General features: G+C 41.7%; 1 protein-coding gene across 2 annotated transcripts in view; it reads right to left on the minus strand.

Annotated features, from left to right (window-relative positions):
• Positions 1–23295, minus strand: part of COPA (coat protein complex I subunit alpha) — a 54657-nt gene that overhangs the window by 4241 nt on the left and 27121 nt on the right. The window contains exons 9-27 of one of the 2 annotated variants that reach the window (NM_004371.4): positions 21156–21291; positions 20251–20333; positions 19034–19184; positions 17358–17424; positions 16267–16342; positions 14329–14411; positions 13520–13659; positions 12854–12939; positions 12599–12737; positions 6268–6430; positions 6011–6157; positions 4722–4911; positions 4509–4604; positions 3227–3315; positions 2902–3025; positions 1934–2023; positions 1650–1759; positions 552–629; positions 332–400 (exon numbers count right to left, since the gene is read on the minus strand). In NM_004371.4, the coding sequence (NP_004362.2) occupies positions 332–400; positions 552–629; positions 1650–1759; positions 1934–2023; positions 2902–3025; positions 3227–3315; positions 4509–4604; positions 4722–4911; positions 6011–6157; positions 6268–6430; positions 12599–12737; positions 12854–12939; positions 13520–13659; positions 14329–14411; positions 16267–16342; positions 17358–17424; positions 19034–19184; positions 20251–20333; positions 21156–21291 (2117 nt within the window). Of the gene's footprint in view, positions 1–331; positions 401–551; positions 630–1649; positions 1760–1933; positions 2024–2901; positions 3026–3226; positions 3316–4508; positions 4605–4721; positions 4912–6010; positions 6158–6267; positions 6431–12598; positions 12765–12853; positions 12940–13519; positions 13660–14328; positions 14412–16266; positions 16343–17357; positions 17425–19033; positions 19185–20250; positions 20334–21155; positions 21292–23295 lie in introns of both variants that reach the window. The other variant, NM_001098398.2, reaches the window with a different exon arrangement.

The raw sequence follows: 23295 nt of genomic DNA on the forward strand, positions 1-23295 counted from the left end.
TTATCATTATTGTTGTTATTATAACAATACTGGCTTAGTGTTCAAAACAGACCTCTGCTTGGAAAGGGGTACTTATCTCACTGATATGAGCCAGAAAGCAAGCTATAAATGGGTGGAAGATGACTGAAGGATATGCCCTAAGAGATTACTAGGCCAAGTGGAAGGCAGATAACAGGAAGGCAAGTGTACTTAACAAAGATAAAGAGTTTTCATGAAAAATATACACCTTTCCCCTTATGGGTAGGATAATTTCCCTTGATTAAAATGAGTCAACCATCTCCCGGGGACCCTGGGCTAGGCACACTCAAGAGGAAAAGCCAAGGTTACTTACCCGCATGGCTGTTTCGAAAGAGCCTGCCAGGATGTGATCAACTGGAAGCTGAGAGTTATTACACCAGATCTAACAAGAAACAAAAAAACCCAAGCCAAGTGAAACTTTGTCCCTTCTCTATTCTCCTCTGTAACTATAGTAGAAAAGTAGCCAACACCTGTTATATACCAATCAAGTATTAGCCACTCATCCCTGCCGTGCTAGGTTTCTTCCCGCTTACCTGAGTTGGACTTGTTCCCTTGGTTGGGGGCACAAAGAAACCATCTTCAGCCCCACCAGCTGCCCCAGGGGATATATCCTAGGGGAAAAACAAAAATTGAGTATTGAGTAATTTTTTTTTTTTTTTTGAGACAGGGTCACACTCTGTCACCTAGACTGGAGTACAGAGGCATGATCTCGGCACACTGCAACCTCTGCCTCCCATGCTCAAGCAATCCTCCAACCTCAGCTTCCCGAGTAGCTGGGACTGCAGGCATGAGTCACCACACCTGGCTAATTTTTGTATTTTTTTGTAGAGATGGGGTTTTGCCATGTTGCCCAGGCTGGTCTCCAACTCCTGAGTTCAAGTGATCTGCCTGGCTCAGCCTCCCAAAGTGCTAGCATTACAGGCGTGAGCCACTGTGCCCAGCCAAATTGAGTAATTTTTTAAGCCATTCAAGCACTTTGTTCTGTTGAATCTAGAACACAACCATTTACATTGTTCCCTGCCCCCACTGAGGAAGAGGGGTGATAGTTGTGGGAGAAGGCTGCCAAAATAGGAGCCACCTCACCAGTGACAAAATGACATATCAAAAACTCCAATTCAGATGAAACAGCTTGCTACCTTCTCATAAGCTGCTGCTGGCAGAACGCTGATTACCTCATTCTTCTTTCTTTCAAATGGGAGTTAAGCATCAGATTAGAGATAAGTCCTACATCCTCTCCTCTTGGAGCATATCAGGATAGATGGAAGTGACAAGGCCACTAACTTTGACTCTCTCGTTCTTCCTGCTTCTTTTACTTTTTAAAATAGAGACAGGGTCTTGCTATGGTGCCCAGGCTGGTCTTGAACTCCTGGGCTCAAGCAATTGTCCTGCCTTAGCCTCCCAAAGTGCTGGGATTACAGGCATGAGTCACCGTGCCCAGCCATCTTCCTTCTTTCAAATGGGAGATAAGCATCAGACTAGGAGGGTCTAGTCCCCTTCCCAGAAGGGCTGACCTTAGGATAGTGGTAGGGGATAGGATAGGAGACCTGAGGATAGTGGTAGGGGACAATAAGGCCTCTGGCTTCCACAGGGAGATACGGAGAGAACCTTCTAAGGGTACAAATTCCACATACCAGCTCAGGAGGGAGCTCCAGATCTTCTTCTACATCCCAGCCACCTCCTTCTTCCTGTCCCTTGCCAAGAGCATCATCCCCCAAACCTTCTGTAGCCTCCACAAACCCATCTGTAAGGAAAATTCAAGCTCAAAACAGATTTGGGCAGTGGCATAATCTTAGCCAAAGGAAGTAAAATCAATCCTAGTTCGTTTCATGGCCTGGAAGTCTGCAGAGCTACCCACAACCCAGTCCCAATCCAAGGTGTCCATCACCCCAGAACAGTCTTAAAACAGCACTTTTACCTTCATCCAACTGCAGCTCTGCATCCTCTCCCCAGCCCTCTGTACCAACAGTGTCAATGTCAATGTCAGCAGCCAGTGCTCCTCCCTTCCCTACAGAGGGAAGGAACAGAACGGAACTGGTTATAGTCCAGCAAGTCTGAGATACGGCCTTTTCTGTAGGCAGGTTAAATCCTTTCAAAAACAGGTGCCAAGCTTCTGCCTACTTACTATTTATTTTTGTGTATTATTTATTTTTGTGGTATATATGTTATGCTAACTTGCAGTAGCTTTCACAGAGGGAGGGAATAGAAGACAGATGGAAGGAACTGGCCTTCCTGCTACCAAAAACTGGCTCTTAAATAATTTGTACTTACCAGCCTTTGGCTACCAACTCTTGAATTTCTTCCTGAGCGCTTTGCTAAGCTACCACCACTACAATGTGTACAGGGCATCAGGCATAGGGTAGATAGAGGAGGTGGAGAAAAGAGTGGGGTTTGGCACAAAATGCTCAAGAGTCTGTTTAGGCTCTTACTCACGGGAAATGAACTAGGAGACCCAGAAAACAGGAGGAGGTTAAGGGTGGAAGTGGTGGAGGGTGATAGCACACATCTGCCTATACCCACATACCGGAATTACAGGTAGTTGAATTAGTACCTTTAAGATTGTATGTCATGAATGATAAAATACTGAACAAAGAACATGACTACATATATAGTAAAACCTAAGAAAATACACCAAAATATTAACCGAAGTTATTGATGGTAGTAGAGGGATCCCTTTTTTTCTCCCTATTTTCCAAATTTTCTTTAATGACCTGAAAATGCTATCTTAAGTTTTTAAGACTGCACCATAAATGACTGGCATTTCAATATTCCATTAGGCTCCATGCAGAAAAAAAGGACAAGTTAAACTAAATGCTAATGGTATTCTCTAGGACAGTTCTTCACAAAACAAACAACAAAAGTGCTATGGGAGAAATAGGTACTTACCTTTGCTGGCAATGGTGCCTTCAAAAAATCCTTTGGATACAGTCAATAAAGGCCAATTGGTATCCAATGGCATGATAGGTGCAGGTGGCTGGAGCAGCTTGGCATTAGGGTCAATGTCTGGGATCTGAATAGTAGAAGAAAAGAGGCTAAAAACAAATAGCACTTGGAAGTCACGTAAGGAAAGTTATGGAGCCTCCTTTGATCTCATTTGTTTCTCTGCCTCTCCTGGTAACCAGGTGGGAGAGTGACATTCATAATTTTAAATTGTTCTAAGATCCTAGAGTTAATCCTGTAATAAGAGACAATTATGTAAATAAAGACTCACTGTCTCCTTCTCTGGGTCAAATGTCTCCTTTAGGCTCTCAGCTTCTTCATCTAAGCCATGGGTAGCAGCTGTGAGATAGGCCAGGGACTCTGTAGAGAAAACAGACTTTGTGGTATAGGTACATTTCCAAATGCATGCTGCTGTGGTAAGCAACCTCTGAAATGGCCCCCCAGTAATCCCTGACTCCTGGTATTCAAGTTGTTGCAAAATACCCACCTCTTAAGTGTGGGCTGGATTTATTAAATAGCTTCTAATGGATGGAACATGGCAGATGTGATGGGATGTTACTTCCTAGATCTGGTTACAAAGATTGTGGCTTCTATCTTGGGGTGCCCTCTTTTGCTCACTTGCTGTAAGGGAAACTAGCTACCACGTTACAAACTCCTATGGAGAGGTCAACACGAAAAGAAAGTGATGTTTCTTAGACAACAGGGAGCAAGGACATGGGGGCTGCCAATGGCCATTGAGTGAGTGCAGAAGTAGATTCTCTCCCCGGTGAGTCTTCAGATATCTGCAGTTCTGGCCAACACTTTGACTGTAGCCTCATGAGAGATCCTAAGCCGGAGGCACCTAGCTAAGCCATGCCACAAATTGTGAAATAATAAATGTTTGTGGTTTTAAACTACTAAATTTGGGGATAATTTGTTACACAGAAATAGAGAACTAATATAGCTGCTTATCTTTGAGACGTATCCATCCGTGCTGAGAACCTTGGATATCCCTGACTCCTCTCTGTTACATCTCAAATCTAGTTACCGCAATAAATCATGTTGTTTCTACCTTAAAATATATCCTGAATCTGACCACTGCTCACCCCTCCACTAATAGCGCCTTGGTCCAAACCTCATCTTTCACCTTGCTTGTTTCCTAATGTATCTTAAATGCTAATATAATGCTTGGTATATAGTGGGTTCTCAAAAAATATCCCTTGACTATATACATGAATAAATGAGTGAAACCTCCAAACTGAAAATAAAGAATAAAATTCTAATGGCATCCAACCAAGTGCATTTACTAGGGCGTCCACTCAAGACCTTTTAAAACCTCCTATCTCCCCCATGAATAACTATTCTCCTAAGGGTGTTTGGCTGGACTGAATATTCTGGCTGCACCTCCCTTTGGCTTTGAAGAAAATCTTCTAAGCACAGTAGGAGCATGTTGTCTCTCCTAAAAAAATGCACAATAAAGAGAAATCCCTCACCACTATACACAGATTAACTCAACAAAAACAGAAAAATACTTCCTCAGACCCTGAAAAAGCTGGCAAGTCTCGGATACTTACTCTGTCCACAGTTCTTCAGGATCCGCACACGCTCTGACACATCACCCAGGTATAGGGCATTCTGATAGTGGCCACTCATGTCCTTTCTGATCTCAGCTGCACCAAGTAAGAGACACCAAGTTAGGTCTTTTCTCTTAAGTTCTCTTTCTCCTTAATTCACCTTCCTCCTTCCCCCAAGAACCCCTCTTCCCATCCTTAGTTTGAGGGCCTCACCAATCTTCATCATCTTGCGAAGTTTTTCTAAGTTGCCAGTGATAAGATACAGGAAGGAAAGTTTGTCAAAGTTTTTGGTACGCTGATAGCACATTTCCACAATCTGGTGGTTCCCCTGCAGCAGGGCCACTTCTCCCAGCTTTTCCCAGCAGTTCTTGTCATCCAGTGCTTTGGCTGCTTCCAGAGCAATCTAAAGAATCCCCAGGGTCGTGTTAACAGGTTGAAGGACAATGTGACTCAAAACCAAGGACTCTGCAAAGCATCTGCATCTATATAGATTTCCTGAAGAACTTCCTATACTTTCAATTACTCCTAGCTTTTAGTCTAATTCCATTGAAAATCGGCTGGGTGCGGTGGCTCACATCTGTAATCCCAGCACTTTGGGAGGCCAAGGCAGGCGGATCCCGAGGTCAAGAGCTCGAGACCATCCTGGCCAACATGGTGAAACCCTGTCTCTACTAAAAATACAAAAAAAATTAGCTGGGAATCATGGTGCACGCCTGTAGTCCCACCTACTCGGGAAGCTGAGGCAGGAGAATCGCTTGGACCCAGGAGGCGGAGGTTGCAGTGAGCCGAGATCATGCCATTGCACTCCAGCCTGGGCAACAAGAGCGAGACTCCGCCTCAAAAAAAAGAAAAAAAAAAAAAGAAAATCCAGTGAACACATAGGACCCCTTTGGATACAGAGATGGAAATAATTACATCGCATTATCCTCCTCCTCCTCCTCAGAAATTTACTTTTACAACAAAACCACCTAGCAGTTGCTGATTCCATAGAGCCAGTTCTTGCTTAGCTACCTTACTTCCCACCTGCCAGGTTTGAAGATCCACAGGGGCTTTAGCAAAGACAGAAGAAATACTACTAGGAAGAAGTTCAGAACTGGAAAACGTTTTCATAAGCTCTTTTCGCCTTAGAAAACAATGCCTATACATTCTAGGCCCCAACGCTTAGTAGGTACTCTTTCATCTAAGTAGCCAGTCAGCAAGATCAAGTGTCAAGGAAATAATAAGATTTTCAAATTCCATGCCATCTTGCTTTTATCCTAGAAGTTACTGAATTCACACTAATTGAGGTTGACAAAAATAGAAATGCGGTGGCAGAAGCAGAGGCAGGTAAAAGTAGAGATGGGCAAATAGCAACAGGAAGATGGCTCAATGTAACAACTAAAAAAAATCCCAAATTTCATTATTCTGGCTAAAGAAGCAAGCCCAGAATAATGCCCTCCCAATGGCACTCTAACTCTCTCACCTCTAAGACAATATGGGGCTGATGACCATATTCCTCTCACCTCAATGTTTCCACACTCCAGTGCCAGACTAAAGCGAGTTTTCTCATCCTTGACAAAATGCAGTGCCACTTCAGGATAGCCCTTCTTCTGGAGATAAGCAATAATAGACTGGCCAACTAGTTTGGCATTCCTCACCATGTGCAGTACCTAGACATTTGGGGTGGAGTCGGGCAAGAAGTAGACATCACTTACAGGAAAAGAAAAAAAAAAAGAGTGCTGCCTCTCTTAATACTCTAGTTTGCATCCTCACTTCATACCTCATCATATTTTCTGTTGATCAGGGCCAGCTTGAATTTGAACTCAGTGGGATCAATGGTGAGTACCCGGGGACGACACTCCCTGTCTAGGCAGTATACATTGTTGCCCTTCACCCGTGTGACATAGATGGGTAAATCCAGAGTTCGAATGATCCCGTGGTCCCTAAGAACAGAGGGCACAGCTTTCAGTAAGTGAGAGGGAAAATCCATCCTGTGAAGAAACGGAACAAACCTAGGAAACGGTCTTTTGTCAAGTGCCATTTGAACAATGATATAGATGGGAAGTGATTCAAAAAAGAGCAGAACTAAATGCCAAATTTATCATATTCTTTCTACGATGGGGTAGATGGCACGATCTTTATATGCTATTATCCTAGAAGATGAGTAACAGATGTGGCTATAGGAATCAGACCTAAAAGTTAAATCTTAAGTTCTGATATATAATCAGTAGGTGATTATGGACAGGTAACTCCTTTATAATCTATAACTGAAAGTAGAAGAGAGGTAGATGTGAAGAGTTCTGATAAAGAAATAATAAAAAACAAAGTATTTTGAACTGAATAATAATAAATAGATTGCAAATTGAAGTTTGTCAATATAGCTAATGCAACATTTAACAGATAATTTACAGACTGCATTAGAAGAAATATTAAAAATTATTGGGTTCTACATGCATATATTAGGAGAAACTGAAAATTAACAAGCAGTCATCTCAAAAAATTTACTGTTCTTTTTAAGCCAAAGAAAGTACTTAGAAGAAAATAATGAAGCCAATAGTAGAAATTAAATAAAAAACAAAAACTACAGTAGAGAAGTTCAATGAAAGCAAAACTTGAATAAAATTGATAAGCCTCTCATGAGGGTAATTCAGAGAAAAGAAAACAATAGGAATGAAAAAGGGGATATCACTACAGATCTTGCAGAATAAAGATGTAACTTTTTAAGAGAATCAAACTGGCCAGGTACAGTGGCTCACATCTATAATCCCAGCACTTTGGGAGGCCGAGGCGGGTAGATCACATGAAGCCAGGAGTTCAAGACCAGCCTGGCCAACATGGTGAAACCCCGTCTCTACTAAAAATACAAAAATTAGCCAGGAGTGGTGGTGCATGTCTGTAATCCCAACTACTCGGAAGGCTGAGGCAGGAGAGTCACTTGAACCCGAGAGACGGAGGTTGCCGTGAGCCGAGGTCGTACCATTGCACTCCAGCCTGGGTGAGACTGGGAGTGAGACTCCGACTCAAAATAAATAAATAAATAAATAAATAAATAAATAAATAAATAAATAAATAGAAGGATCAAACTCCTAAAAAATAAAATTTGCCAAAGTTGAATCAAAAATAAATAGAAAACACCTATAGTCCTATAATGGCTAAATAAACTGAATCAGATTTTTAAAATCCTCCCATAGAGAAAGTCCTATGTCCATATGACTTCAAGGGCAAATTCTAACCAATATTCAAGGAAGAATTAATTCCAGTTGTATGCAAACTCATTGAGGGAACAGAAAAAATACATTACTTTGCTTTATGAAATTCACACAACCTTGATACTAAAACCTAACAAGGACAGTAAGAAAAGGGAAAATTACAGGTAATCTCACTTATAAATATGTGAAAACATAAGTAAAATATTAGCAACCTAAAGCTAGCAATATTTGAAAAGGGTAAAAATATCAAGACCAAGTTAGGTTTACATCAGGAATATAGTGTTGATTTAACATTTATAAAAAATCAGCTGGGCACAGTGGCTCATGCCTGTAATCCCAGCACTTTGGGAGGCTGAGGCAGGCGGATCACCTGAGGTCAGGAGTTCAAGACCAACCTGAACAACACGGCAAAACCTCATCTCTATTAAAAATTCAAAATTAGCCAGGCGTAATGGCTCATGCCTATAATCCCAGCTACTTGGGAGACTGATGCACAAGAATTGCTTGAACCCGGGAGGTGGAGGTTGCAGTGAGCTGAGGTGCTTGAACCCGGGAGGTGGAGGTTGCAGTGAGCTGAGGTCATGCCACTGTACTCCAGCCTGGGGTGAGACTCTGTCTCAAAAAAAATAAAAAATAAAAAAAAATCAATTTAATTCACTACATTAATCAATGAAAGGAGAAAAATTGTATGACTACCCCAATGCTGGCTGAGCATCCCAAACAGGAAATCTGAAATGCTCCAAAATCCAAAACTGAGCACTGAAGTGACACTCAAAGGAAATGTTCATTGGAGCAGTATGGATTTCAGATTTTTGGATGTGGGATGTTCAATCAGTAACACAAATATTCCAAAATCAGAAAAAAATCAGAAATATAAAATAATTCTGGTTTCAAGCATGTCAAGTAAGGGACACTCAACCTGTATATGCAGAAAAGTTATTTAATAAAATTCAATATTTAGGCCGGGCATGGTGGCTCATGCCTGTAATCTCAACACTCTGGGAGGCCACGGCAGGCCGACTGCTTGAGCCCAGGAGTTCAAGACCAGCCTGAGCAACATGGTGAAACCCCATCACTACAAAAAAAACAAAAATGAGCTGGGCATGGTGGCATATGCCTGTAGTCTCAGCTACTTGGGAGGCTGAGCTGGGAGGATAACTTGAGCCCAGGAGGCAGAGGTTGCAGTGAGCCAAGATTGTGCCACTACACAATGGGCAACAGAGTGAGACTCTCTGCCAAAAATAGTTAAATTACATTAATTTAATAAATAGATATAAATAAATAAATTCAACATTTAGGTTGGTAAATGTTGAATTTTACCAAGGTAAAAAAAAAAACTCTTAGCAAAAAGAAATAGCAAAATTCCTTCATAGAAAAGGGATATACATTTTAAAAATCTACTGTAAGCTCACATAATTCTAACACACTGAAAGTTCACCCTTTAAGTTAGGAATAAGACAAGAATGTTTGCTGTCATCATGTTAATTCCACATTGCTGGAGATCCTAGTCAGTGCAGTAAGCAAGAAAAATATAGTAATATATAAGTACTTGAAAGAGAAACTAAATTGTCATTACCCACAGATACTATGATTATTTGTAAAGGAAATAGAAATAAATCCTGGAATTGATAAGAGTCTAGCAAGATTCCTAAAATCAATTTTAAATTGATTTTATTGTATTTAAATTGAATTAACTGTATTTCTAAATATCAACAAAATTAGAAAATTAAAATTTTAAATAGATATTATCCATTTACAAACAGAATTTTAAAACCATCAAGTGTCTAATAAATCTAACCAAAGAAATGCAAGATCTCTATAGAGAAAACTATAAAACTTTATTGAAGGATGTTTCAGAAGACCTAAATGAATGAAGAGCTGCTATACCAAGTTCACAGATTAGGAAACTGAACACTGTAAGGACTGTAAAGATGACAGTTATCCCCCAACTGATGTAGAGAATTAATGCAATTCCAAACGAAACCACAAACTTTTTTTGTGTGGAATTTCACAAGTTACTTTTTTTTTTTTTTTTTTTTTTTGAGATGGAGTCTCACTCTGTCGCCCAGGTTGGAGTGCAGTGGCGCGATCTCAGCTCACTGCAACCTCCGCCTCCCAGGTTCATGCCATTCTCCTGCATCAGCCTCCTGAGCAGCTGGGACTACAGGCGCCCACCACCACGCCCAGCTAGCTTTTTGTATTTTTAGTAGAGATGGGGTTTCACCGTGTTAGCCAGGATGGTCTCGATCTCCTGACCTCGTGATCCACCCGCCTCAGCCTCCCAAAGTGCTGGGATTACAGGCGTGAGCGACCGTGCTGGGCCCGGAATTTCACAAGTTACTTTAAAAACTTATATGAAGGGCCGGGCATGGTGGCTAATGCCTGCAATCCCAGCACTTTGGGAAGCTGATGTGGGAGGATGGCTTGAGGTCAGGAGTTCGAGACCAGCCTGGCCAATATGGTGAAACCCCATCTCTACTCAAAATACAAGTATTAGCTGGGTGTGGTGGCATGCGCCTATAATACCAGCTACTCAGGAGGCTGAGGCAGGAGAATCACTTGAACCTGGGAGACAGGAGAATCACTTGAACCTGGGAAGCAGAGGTTGCAGTGAGCCAAGATTACGCCACTGTACTCCAGCCTGGGCAACAGAGTGAGACTCCATCTCAAAACAGCAACAACAACAACAACAAAACTTACGTGAGAAGGCAAAATTTACTTGAAAATACCCTAACGACTTTTAAAAAATAAACAAAATAGGATCAAAGGAAAAGTTGTACCAGATGTGAAGATTTATCATAAAGCTACATTATTTAAGACAGTGTGGAATTAGAGCAGAGATAGACAGACCACATTTGAAAACATGATTTATGTATAACAAAGACGAGACTGCAGAACAATGGAGAAAGAACGGTCTTTTCAATAATGCTGCTGGGCAATTGAGTGTCCTTATGGAAAAAGTGGGATTGAGCTTTCTATACCTCACACCATACATAACTATCAATGTCAGGTAGATTATAGACCTAGATATAAAAAGCAAAGTTACAATGTTTTTACAGAAGAATACAGAAGAATGGCTTTATGATTTGGGAGTCAATAAATATTTTAAAAATAGGATGAAACCTAATATCCATAAAAGATAAAGATTCATAAACTCAACTACATTGAAATTAAGACTGTTCATTAAAGGATACCATAAAGAAAATCAGAAGACATGCTACAAAAGAGGAGATACTAATATTTGCAACATGTAGCTCTGACAAAGGACTGACATGCAAAAAAGAAAGATAATATAAAATAGATTAAAGATTTGAACAGAATTCACATAAGAGGAAATCCTACTGGATGGCCAGATGAAAAGGTGCTCAATCTCATTAGGAAACAGAGAACAGCAAAACAAAATTACAAGGAGATACCATTACGCATCCATCAGATGGACAAAAATAAGTCTCACCAAACTTGTCAAGAAGACAAGAAAGGAAATTTTTTGTTCTTTTTTTTTTGAGACAGAGTTTCGCTCGTTGCCCAGGCTGGAGTGCAATGGTACGACCATGGATCACTGCAGCCTTTGCCTCCTGGGTTCAAGTGATTCTCCTGCCTCAGCCTCCGGAGTAGCTGGGATTACAGGCACCACCACCACACCCAGCTAATTTTTTTTTATTTTTAGGAGAGAGGGTTTCTCCATGTTGCTCAGGCTGGTCTTGAACTCCTGACCTCCAGTGATCTGCCTGCCTCAGCCTCCCAAAGTGCTGGGATTACAGACGTGAGCCACCACGCCCAACCCAAAAGGAAATTTTTATACCAAGCTGGTGGGCATGCAAATTGGTACAATCACTTTGAAAAGCAGTTTCACAGCTGGGCGCGGTGGCTCACGCCTGTAATCCCAGCACTTTGGGGGGCCAAGGTGGGCAGATCACAAGGTCAAGAGCTCAAAACCAGCCTGGCCAACATGGTGAAACCCTGTCTCTACTAAAAATACAAAAATTAGCTGGGTGTGGTGGTGTGTGCCTGTAATCCCAGCTACTCGGGAGGCTGAGGCAGGAGAATCACTTGAACCCAGGAGGCGGAGGTTGCAGTGAGCCAAGGTCACACCACTGCACTCCAGCCTGGGCGAGACTCCGTTTCAGAAAAAAAAGAAAAGCAGTTTCACATTGCCTAATAAATGTGAAGATATGCATAATCCATGGCCTAGCAATTCTATTCTGGGGATACACTCTAGAGAAATGTATGTACATGTACCCCAGAAAACAGGTAAAAAAGAATGTTTAAGAGCATTGTTCATACAAGCCAAAAACTAGAATTCACTCAAATATTCCTTAAGAGTAGAACTGACAAACTGTGGCATAATCATATAATTATACAAAAATGAAAATAAATACATTGGAGCTACAAGATGGATGAATCTTACAAACAAAATATTGGGCAAAATATGAAATAATATATTCAGTATGATTTCATTTATATGAAGGCAAAACCAGGCAAAACTAAATCATATTAAGAAACACAGGGCAGTAAAATTACAAAGAAAAGCAAGGAAGAAATTACTGTAAAAACTAGAATGTTACTGTTGGTGGAAACAGGGAGGGTTGTGACCACGTGGCAAAGGGCTTCTGGGGTGCCGGAACTGTTCTATTTTTTGACTTGGGTGGTAGTTATGCTGATGTTCACTACATAACTTATTTGTTATTCTATTTTTTTTTAATGTAATTGTCTATATTTGTTTTAGATTTCTCAATTTTAAAAAAGTTGAAAAAAGAATGTTCTGATGCCCCTTGCACATATATGCCAGGTAAGGCTTTTCCATGAAGAAAATTCATGGAGGACTTCAGTTACATCTCAAGACAAGACAGTGATTTCAGGAAGCTGTCTTCTCCCATTCTGTATCCCAGATAATTAACTTACCCAGTGGTGACAGCATATTTGATGTGGTTGCTTGTGGTATAGATAAATACCCCACTCTCATCCCAGGCCCCACTCTTGACACGAATGTTCTCATGAATGTTACATAAAGCATCCAGTTTGCGGTTACAGATCACAATGGCTGTAAGAGGCAAAGGGCATGAGTGTTCTGTTGGATAGGGTAAGTGCCGTAGACTGGCAGGGATCGGGGTGGAAGGGAATGGTCTCTAAATCAGGGTGGATATAATGAAGACTCACCGTGTTTGGCTAGTAGTGCTACATGTGACATGTCTGCTGACCAGATAACGTATTTCACTTTAGAAATCTTCACAGATGCCAGAGTCCTGAGATAGATAGAGATGTGCAAACATGAATGGATCTATTTCCCTTGTCTCAGGCTTTGATCTACATCAATTGCACCCTCTAATTAATGTAAACCCCAATTTCTTAATGTAATTCTAATTACATAAAATACTTAATGTAATTCCTACATAGTAGCTCAGTGACTTAAACATTTTGGCTCACATTGTGCACTTACCCCTTCCTCAACCCCCTCTCCCTCATTTCCTTGTATTATTAGGGAATCTGTGTATGTCTGTTTTCACCACTGGACTGCAAGCTCCCTTAAATGTAGGAACTATGTTATTAATCTCTGTCTCTCTCTCATTCTAAGCTCGGAGAACACGCTTTGTTCAGGTAAGTACTGTAAAAACAGATAAATAACCAAGAATCTCACTGTAATGCTAGTGTGGACGTGAAGAATGGAGAGTGATCACAGAAGGGAAAAGTTACTATAAAGAGTCTTGGAGCACAAGAAGTGGCCAAGCCACAAGACAAACTCACTTGGGGAAAAAAGGTTCCCACTAAAGATGTCCACTCTCCCCAACTACAGGGCTGTCTGCTTAGGGGCACCTGATATGTTACCGCTTCTGCTGTACGTCAAAGAGTGTGATAGAGTCCGCATCTCGAAGCAGGAGATTGCCTGTGCCAGCATAGAAGATCTCATCACAGTTGGGCACCTGTACCTTTTTGGTGATCTCATTCTTCAGATTCTTGATCAGAAGCTGCAATAAGTATTAAAGATGGGGTTAAGAGAAGAAATGTGTATAGATGATGATGACAACTGATGATGTTCCTCAGCAATTGTTCCTTAGCTTCAATTAACTAAGTATTTTTTGTCCTGTCCATGTCAATTACCACTGCAGACAGACCATGCCAACCAAGATCTTCTCTAAGGGCCTTAATACATTATTTTTTCTCCTCCAACTAAAACATCCTGAGAAGTCCCAACTAAAGTCTGAATTTCTCAATGAATGAGAGAGAGAAAACACTGTTTCTGGGGCTTAAATTTTGTTAAATATTTTCTTCAGAGTGCTTTATCTTGTGCTGGACCTATTACATTTCAAGTAACAATGGAGGCAGCAGAAGGAGGGAAATTTCCTCATCCAGCCCACTCACTTCAGATTTGATGCGTTTTGGGCTCCTGTAGTCAAGAGTGACTTTAGCTTGGTTCTTAAACCCAGAGCCACGGCGATCATCAACCCAATCAAATCAGTTTTAATGCCATTCCCCCAAGAGGGCTTAGTGTAGGGCTAGAGACAGAGGTACAGCCAATACATGAGAATCACGGCTGCCCGGGGGAGAACAGAAAAAACAATGGTCTTTATTTTGCAATACACAGGCCACTGCCACCACACTCCCCAAATTAGTTTCTGCTTTTAGTCTTAACTCACCGAATGCATCCGATCTAGGACAGCAAACCGATTTCGAGCGACCCAAACGGCTGTCAGGCCTGAGGATCGTTTCCCTTCAGGCGCTGAGAAGAACAAAACCAAAGGGTGGGAGCATGTGGTGAGTCACTGGCAGGTGACATAGTCGGGTGCCATGGAGCTGCCAGTCTTGCTGGATGCCATCTTGGCTTTGCCAGTTGAGCTGCTTCCTAACTAATTCAGCCATAACCTGGGGCTATTATTGAGTGACTTTTCCCCACCAGTCCCCTCCAAACACCAACCACCACCCCTGCCAAGGCTCTTTTCTCTAGGCCAAGTGGTTGCATTTCAGCCAACATCATGTACTGGCAGAAGGGCCGCCCATCTTGGGAGACAGCACACTCCATCAAGCTAACGAGCAGGGCCTCCCTGGCCAAGCTGCGGCAAAGCAAGCCTGTGTCATAGGACCCCCTCCACAGGATGCAGCTGCTCTCTGCTGCTTTTAACATGCAAATGCAGACTTCCTAGTAGGGCAGGGTGAGGCAGAGCACTCCCAACTAAATCTTGACAGGAGAGCTTGGTGCTGGGCGGTATTTAGAACCAAGTTGTTGCTCTGTAAATGTCAACTGACCATTCTTATCACCCTGAAGAGAGTTACAAAATGTTCCTCAGTTCAGTGGCTTATTAGAATTTTGAAATGGACACTCCATTCTCTGGGAAACTTGTAGAAGGATAAACAGAAGGGTGCATCAAAATACTCTTTTACCTATTAGACCAGCAGAAAACTGGAGAGAACATGCTGGCCAGTCTTGCCCCTGGCATCTGGAGTGGCAGGCAATTTATGAAACTAATTATTATCAAAACCAACACTCCCGTTTTCCAGGGGCCAGGAATCTGCATTATTCAAGCCCATCTCTGTTGCCCACCACTGGGCTGCTCCTTTATTATTATCTCCCTCAAAAAATGAAGTACAGAAAATAAAAGTGGTAATAAAACAAAACAAAATATTTTAAATTCTATTAATTGTAAACACAGATGGGGAAAAAAAAAAGCAAAGAGCTAGTTGGGAGGTACCAAACCATAAGATTTAGTCAGAAATGGCTTAACTGACTAATTTATAAGGGAGACTTTGACTTATGGATACCAAATACAAATATCTTTTCTTTCTCTCACTATGAACACATTTAAAAGAGAGGAGATCGATTAGCAACAATAATAACCCAGGGGCACCCACAAAAGAAACAGAGCTAGCAAATTATTTCTTAGGAATCTGTTGATGGGGTCTAAAATATCATTAAAATATGCCAGTAAGAGTGGGGATCTGCAGAATAAATCTCTGACCTGGTACTAGCCATAAACCCGCTGGAAGAAGTGCACCCAAAAGACCATAGGCAATAGTCAAATCCATTCTGAGAATGTTTTGTCAGCAAGTTCTAATCACAAGGACATCAACAAGGGATAGTGGTAATGGAAGAGGTAGGCAGGAGTCTCAGCTGGATCCTGGGATCCCAGGTGGGGTGTGGGGCTGTTAGCAGCCTCATCTTTTTGACATGCAAAAGGAAGCAAATCGGATCTGGATGTGGATAGGACAGTATAAATCCCTAGTCCCAGGATGAGGCATTATAAGATTGGAACCACATTTTTAAATAAATGAAACTACCAGGGTGAAAGTCATATCAACTGACAATAAACTAGGATAACATGCTGTGCTGAAAGAGAGAATGGAGAGTTTCTAATAACCAAATTATAAAATATATATATCTAGCTGGGGTAATAAAATGGAGGAGGAACATGAATATTTCACACCATGGTCGCCTCTGATGCAATTGTCAGCAGCACCTGCCAACAGACATGAGTGATGTGGCCATGGCTTGGGGATGGAATGTGAAAAACTTGAAGAGGAGTTATGATGCGGGTGAGGAGAGCTGGAAGCAGAGTGGGGTAGACAAAAAGAACACTTACCATCAGGATTCTGGGAGTCAGCATCTTTAGGGATGGTGTACAGGTCATAGGTACTATTCTCTAGATTGCTAGCTCTCTGTAGAAGAAAAGGGGAAATTAAAATGTTAGTGAGAAGCACCCAAGATACCAGTTTTCCAATTTACTCTGACAGAGAAAACAGTTCCATTGCACAGACACCAATCTGAAACCATACTTTTCTTACCCTTCACCCAGAGGGCATTTGACTGTTTCTACATCTATGAGTTATAGGGCTCTTTGCCAAACACATCAGCACTGATGTCACTTTATTTTCTTTATCCTCCAAAGATGCAGATATTATCTGAATGAAAGTAAGAAATGCTCTCTACTCCACAAATTAACAGACTAGGACCCTGATATTCTGGTACCCCACCCTGAGGACTCATCAACTGAGTACTCAACCTCTGGAAAGGAAAAAAAAAAGACATCAAAGAAAAGACACTATAGGAATGCAAATGTTTATTGGAAAAAGAAGAAAAGAAAAAACACTCAAGAAAACTCAGAGTATGGGACTACTAGATATTAAAGAAGAACAGATTAGACAATATAGTTATATGAGGAAAGACATTTAACTTCATTCCTTTTAACTTGGCCACGAGGGCACTAAAATTAGAATGTCATTTCTTTTTTTTTTTTTTTTGCAAATTCTGTTGCAAGAAACAGAGAGGAGTCATTGATGACTCTGAAGCCAACCCCACTGATATGAACTTCCTCTCAAAATAATAGTTCTTCTATTTTCACCCAAAGGAAGGGATCAAGGTAAACATTTTCTTTCCATAGGAAATATATATATATAGTCTAAACATTCTCTCAAATTATTTCTAGTGATCTGGGTCATTCATTCTGATGCTCCATTAAGTTCAGCTTTAGGAAAGATAGGCAGTTCACAAATGCTCAATATGTTTACGACAACTGAAACCTACCTGATTTGAGTCTCTGAGTGATCACTGTGTCAGCTCTCACAAAATGACCATTAAATAGTTTCTAAGAAGCCATTAAAGATTCCCTAAGGGCATAAGAAAGAGACCTATGGAAAATGAGGAGAACCTAGGAGGGCTCCACAGGTTACTTACTGTACAAAGCAGGACTGCATTTTCTGCTGGATTGTATGACATATTGAATACTGGAAACTTGGAACCACTAGAGATATATATAGAAAAAGGAGAAAACAGGGAAGAGGCATAAGAATAGAAGGAAGAAAGGAATCACCCCCACACCTCCTACTTATCCAATCTTTACACTATATACTCATCACTTTTATAATCAGGAATAAAATGAATAAATATTGTATTCTCTTCCTTTAAGGCTTGGCAACTTCCCTAGCTCAGCTTTGAACAAACAGTTTTAAAAAGTAAGCCATAGTAGAAGTCAAATTATTCAACAGAAGGTAGGTAGGGTTAACACTCACTGTAGTGAGTGGGACTGGTTCTGCTTGGATACAAATTCCTACACGTAATTGCAGTGGACACCACAGAGTAACATAATGTGATTTGTCTCTGGCTGGTTTCTCCTGTCCCTTGGAGTATTCACATAAACCCATTTTTTTATTGTAATGATGCTAAAGGGTGGTTATCAAAACCTCATTCCAAATTTTGCCACCATGAATGTTTCAGCATGCTGATGCAGCTGGCTTTTCAAAAGGACAGGTCCTTTTGCCAGGCATCCCAGAGGTTATTGTATCTTCAGAATTAAGAGTTTCCAGGGACATATATTCTGGTTCAGAGTTGTGCACTTTTTGCTGGAAGGCAAGGGAGAGTTAAAGAAAAGAAATGCCAAACAAAGGCGAAAAGTTCTGTTACCAGTTTGGGCCATTCTCTATCAAGAAACTTCCTCTGGCTTGCAAGAGACCCAGCAAATTGTGGCAGAATGATTTTCCATCCACAAGGTCACTAGCATTCTCAAGAAGGGAACTATCATTCTACTCATGACCACTTCCTTGCCTCCCTCACTCATTGGGTTTAAACTGAGCGGGCTCATCTAATGGGGATTCCATCTGTGACAGAATACGAGATCCAAAATGTCATTTAAAAGAAGAGTCTTGGTTGGGTGCGGTGGCTCACGCCTGCAATCCCAGAACTTTGGGAGGCCGAGGTGGGCGGATCACAAGGTCAGGAGTTCGAGGCCAGCCTGACCAACACAGCGAAACCCCGTCTCTACTCAAAATACAAAATTAGCCAGGTGTGGTGGTGCACACCTGTAATCCCAGCTACTTGGGAGACTGAGGCAGGAGAATTGCTTGAACCCAGGAGGTGGAGGTTGCAGTGAGCTGAGGTTGCATCACTGCGCTCCAGCCTGGGTGACAGAGTGAGACTCCATCTCAAAAAAAAAAAATTTAAAAATAAATAAATAGGCTGGGCGCGGTGGCTCACGCCTGTAATCCCAGCACTTTGGGAGGCCAAGCCAGGCAGATCATGAGGTCAGGAGATTGAGACCATCCTGGCTAACATGGTGAAACCGTCTCTACTAAAAAATACAAAAAATTAGCCAGGCGTGGTGGCGGGCGCCTGTAGTCCCAGTACTTGGGAGGCTGAGGCAGGAGAATGGTGTGAACCCGGGAGGCGGAGCTTGCAGTGAGCCGAGATCGCGCCACTGCACTCCAGCCTGGGCGACAAAGCGAGACTCCGTCTCAAAAAAAAATTAAATAAATAAAATAAATAAATGAAAGAAAGAAAAGAAGAGTCTTGTTTGTGGGAGTTGTATCAGGGTGACAGATGAGAGGGTTTGGAGGAAAGAAACAAGTCCGATTTACCTCCGCAACTGCATCACAGCTACATCTTTGGAGCTGTTGAAATCCAGCTGTCGTAAGAATCGGTCCTTGACATAGTGTAGCATATTGCCATGAACAGCATAGGCTGGCCGTTCCCGTTCCAGCTTAAACACAATCATACCACCATCATGGCCTGGGGGACAGGGAGAGGAGGAGAAAAAATTAAGCTGTAGGCAAGAAAAAAACCTGGAAATTGGAGATACGTAAGGATGAAGATTATATCTGTAAGACAAGACACCTGAATGCATCCCTTATTTGCCTAAATTCTCACAATTCTTGGAATCTTTATTTAAATAATTCTCTGTGAATCCTTTCCTAATACTATTCACACTGCCACACTTAGTGTCACTATCCACACTGCCCTTTTCTGTGTTCCCCTAATGCTTTGTACAAACCTCCATTACAGTACTTATCATCCTGCACTGTAATCATTTAGGTCTATCACCCACATTGTAACATGAATTCCCTGAAGGCAGAAATTATAATTTCCATCCTTCCCCAGTCTCTAGCATATAAAAAGAGTATAAGAAGTATTTACTGAAAAAATGGATGTTAAAAACCCTTTGTGATTCTGTTTTTTAAAATGTTTTGCTCTTTCCCTACTAGCACCATCATCCCTTAGAAAACCCTTCCACTCTTGTTCTCCTACTGTCTGCTCTCCAAATATAAACCAGATCATGTCACTTTCCTGCCCAAAACCTTCCAATGGCTTTCCATGTATTCAGAATAAAATCTTAAGTTCTAACCATGGCATAGAAGGCAATACACGATCTGGCCAGACCTCACCTGTTACTCAGTCCCTTACTCACTGTGCTCCAACTGGCCTCTTTGGTGTTCCTTAGCATGTGATGGTGACATGCTAAGCACCTCTCACAACACAGTCTCTGCATTTGCTGTTCCCATTGCCTCATACCCTTTCACTTTTCTGAACCACCCAATATAAAGCAGCAGTCCCCATACTCATCTGTCTCTATCTGCCTTACCTTTAATTTTTCTTCAAAGCATTTTTCACCACACATCATTTTACGTACATATAAAGTGGAAGAAAAAAAGGAGAAAAGCTTCAACTAAGTGGCTCTGAGAGTCCTTCTTCTTCTTGTCATCCTACTATACATTTACTAGAGACAAAGCTAATAATCACTTTCAAGACTTATAAACTTTGAATTAAGCAAAGAAAAAAGAGAGAAAATGGCCCTTACCTGCTGCAAAGAGGTTAAGGTTAGGGTGAGCAGCTAGGACCCAGAAACGATCATGGTCTCTGCGGAAAGTCTGAACCCCAGTCCTAGAAAAGGTACACAAAAAGAAAAACATTAATTTCCTAGGAATCTTCAGCCCATCCTACACAAGAATATTAAATGGTAAGCCAGCAAGCTGATTAAAATGTAAATCAGGGAGAGTAAACTGCATATCCTAAGTAACAGTAGTCGTGATAAATTCTACCAAGGAACAAAAAGAGGAGACTTCAAAACTGACCATATTATTATGATATATAGATTTCCCCTTTTCAGCATAATTTTATGGCTTTCATTCTGCATTTTTTTTTTTTTGAGACGGAGTCTCGCTCTGTTGCCCAGGCTGGAGTGCAGTGGCGCGATCTCGGCTCACTGCAAGCTCCACCTCCCAGGTTCATGCCATTCTTCTGCCTCAGCCTCCTGAGTAGCTGGGACTACAGGCGCCCGCCACCACGCCCGGCTAATTTTTTGTATTTTTAGTAGAGACGGGGTTTCATTGTGTTAGCCAGGATGGTCTCAATCTCCTGACCTCGTGATCCACCCGCCTCAGCCTCCCAAGTGCTGGGATTACAGGCATGAGCCACCGCGCCCGGCCTCATTCCGCATTTCTTACTTCTCTAGCTACAGAACTGGGGAAAGGGGGAAGAAGAAAACATGTTTAAATTTAGAGGCAAAAAATAATATACATGGAGATTTCTATTTGATGGAAAATTTGTAAATGTTGACTGATCTCTAGGTCTCTTCAAATTTTCATAATATATGATTTGATTTGTCTACATGCTGAAGATGATGAGAGACATAAAGAAGTATTCCAATCTAATTTTAAAAGAGAGAGTAAGAGAAAGTTCACACAACACTGAGGACTACCTTACCGCTTAGACATATCCCAGACTCGAATACTCTTGTCCTCAGAATTGCTGAGGATCAACTCTTGGCGAGGGTGGAAGACGGCACAAGATACATTGTTGTAATGGCCCCGGCAGGTATCAACCTCCCATGCCTTTGATTCTGAAGGACAAAAAGAATTAGGTCATCACAATTCCCTACTACTATAACTTTAGGATTTGGAGATATGACATCCTCTTCATCAAGAACTAAGTACTATTACAGAATGCTAAATTGCCAACTTCTTTCTAATATGGCAATCTTCTTCATTTAAGTCTCTTAATCTTTACATGTCTTGGTTCTTTCATTCTGACCCTCTTATTGATTATAAAACCTCTTCTCTTGGCCAGACATGGTGGCTCACACCTGTAATCCCAGAACTTTGGGAGGCTAAGGTAGGGGGATCACTTGAGCCTAGGAGTTCGAGATCAGCCTGGGCAACATGGTAAAAAACCCCATCTCTACAAAAAATACAAAAATTAACTGGGTGTTGTGGCGCACGTTTGTAGTCCCAGCTACTCAGGAGGCTGAGGGGGAGGATCGCCCAAGCCCAAAAGGTCAAGACGGCAGTGAGCCGTGAATGCACCACCAAACTCCAGGCTGGGCAACAGAGCAAGACCCTGTCTCAAAAAAACAAACACCTCTTTTTCATCATTCTCCATCCCTTTATCCTGTTTTATCTGTCCTGATAACAACTGTCCTAGTTGGCCTTTCAATTTTTGTTATTTTTTCTTTTTTTCAGGGACCTGCCACTTTAGGAGTTGCCATTTTAGAACAAATATGAGCTCCTTCAGACAGGGGCCTTATCTGTTTTAGTCACCGCTGTATCTCCAGAGCCTTAAACAAAGTCTAGTACAAAGGAGGTACTCAATAAATATTTGTCAAATGAATGGATGAATTCTATGTTCATACTCCTCAAAATAAGGGTACCACCACAGGAAAAAAGGGAAAGAAGGAATACTTTCAGTTTCAAAACAGTGGTATAGAAGCAAGCTGGCTTCACTCCCCTCCACAGAAAACCCAAAACAAATATACAGTGCTGAGATTTTCATCAGCAACAACCCAGAACTCAAATATGACAATGAGACAGTTCCTGGGGCCACAGAGAGATGAAAAAACTCTGAGCAGATGGTAAGAGCATCTGATTTCCACATCTGCAATGGCCCTCCCCCAACTCATGGTTTCTACACTGGAAAAAGTGAGACTGAGGAGGTCAACTACCTTCCCCATCTTCCTGGGTGCCCTGGCAGGAGATCTAACCTTGACTTAACCCATGGGAAGCATCACGACTGCCTGAAAGGGGAAATATCCCTGAGGACAGGCAGAGAGAAAGCGGGGAGGCAAGACTATCACACCCAGCCCCAGAAACTCTGCTCTGTTACTTGGCCAAAGGAGATGCCAAATCAGAGTGGCTGCTCAGCAGCACTGCATTGCAGGAAGTATATTCCACAGGTCTGCCCATACACGAACCTCTAGCCAGCCTTGACACACAGCTGGGATAATCCCTTTGGGACCTCCCCATTCAGGACAGACAATGCTCTGGTCATTTACTAAAGCCAAGGTGAACCCGGACTTAAGGTGTCACCTAAAGCCAAAGAGGAGGAAGTGACCTAGCAGTACAGATTTGCTAAGCAAATATATCCAATAAAAACCAAAGCAAGCCAAACAGAGAAAACTGGAATAAGTAACTAATCTTTCAATACAAAGACATAGGTGTATACCCAAAATAAACAATAGCAAACAGGGAACCATAACCTCCCCACAAGGACAAAGCAAAAATACAATGACTGACCCTAAAATGACAGCAATTTGTGATCTCTGACCAAGAATTAAAACTGGTAGTTTAAAGGAAACCCTGTTATCGCCAAGAGATGGCTGAAAAACAATTAAGAAATTTACCAGAGAAGTTTAACAAAGAGATTGAAACAATGAAAACAAATCAAACAGAAATCTTGAAACAGAAACACATTTGCTGAAATGAAGAGCTCATTAGAGACTCTGAATAGCAGACTGGACCAAGTGGAGGAAAAAAATCAGTGAGCTCGAAGACTGGCTGTTTGAAAAATACACAGTCAGGCTGGGCATGGTGGCTCACACCTATAATCCCAGCACTTTGGGAGGCCGAGG

Source organism: Homo sapiens, chromosome 1, assembly GCF_000001405.40.
Source record: "Homo sapiens chromosome 1, GRCh38.p14 Primary Assembly".
Lineage (NCBI taxonomy): Eukaryota > Metazoa > Chordata > Mammalia > Primates > Hominidae > Homo > Homo sapiens.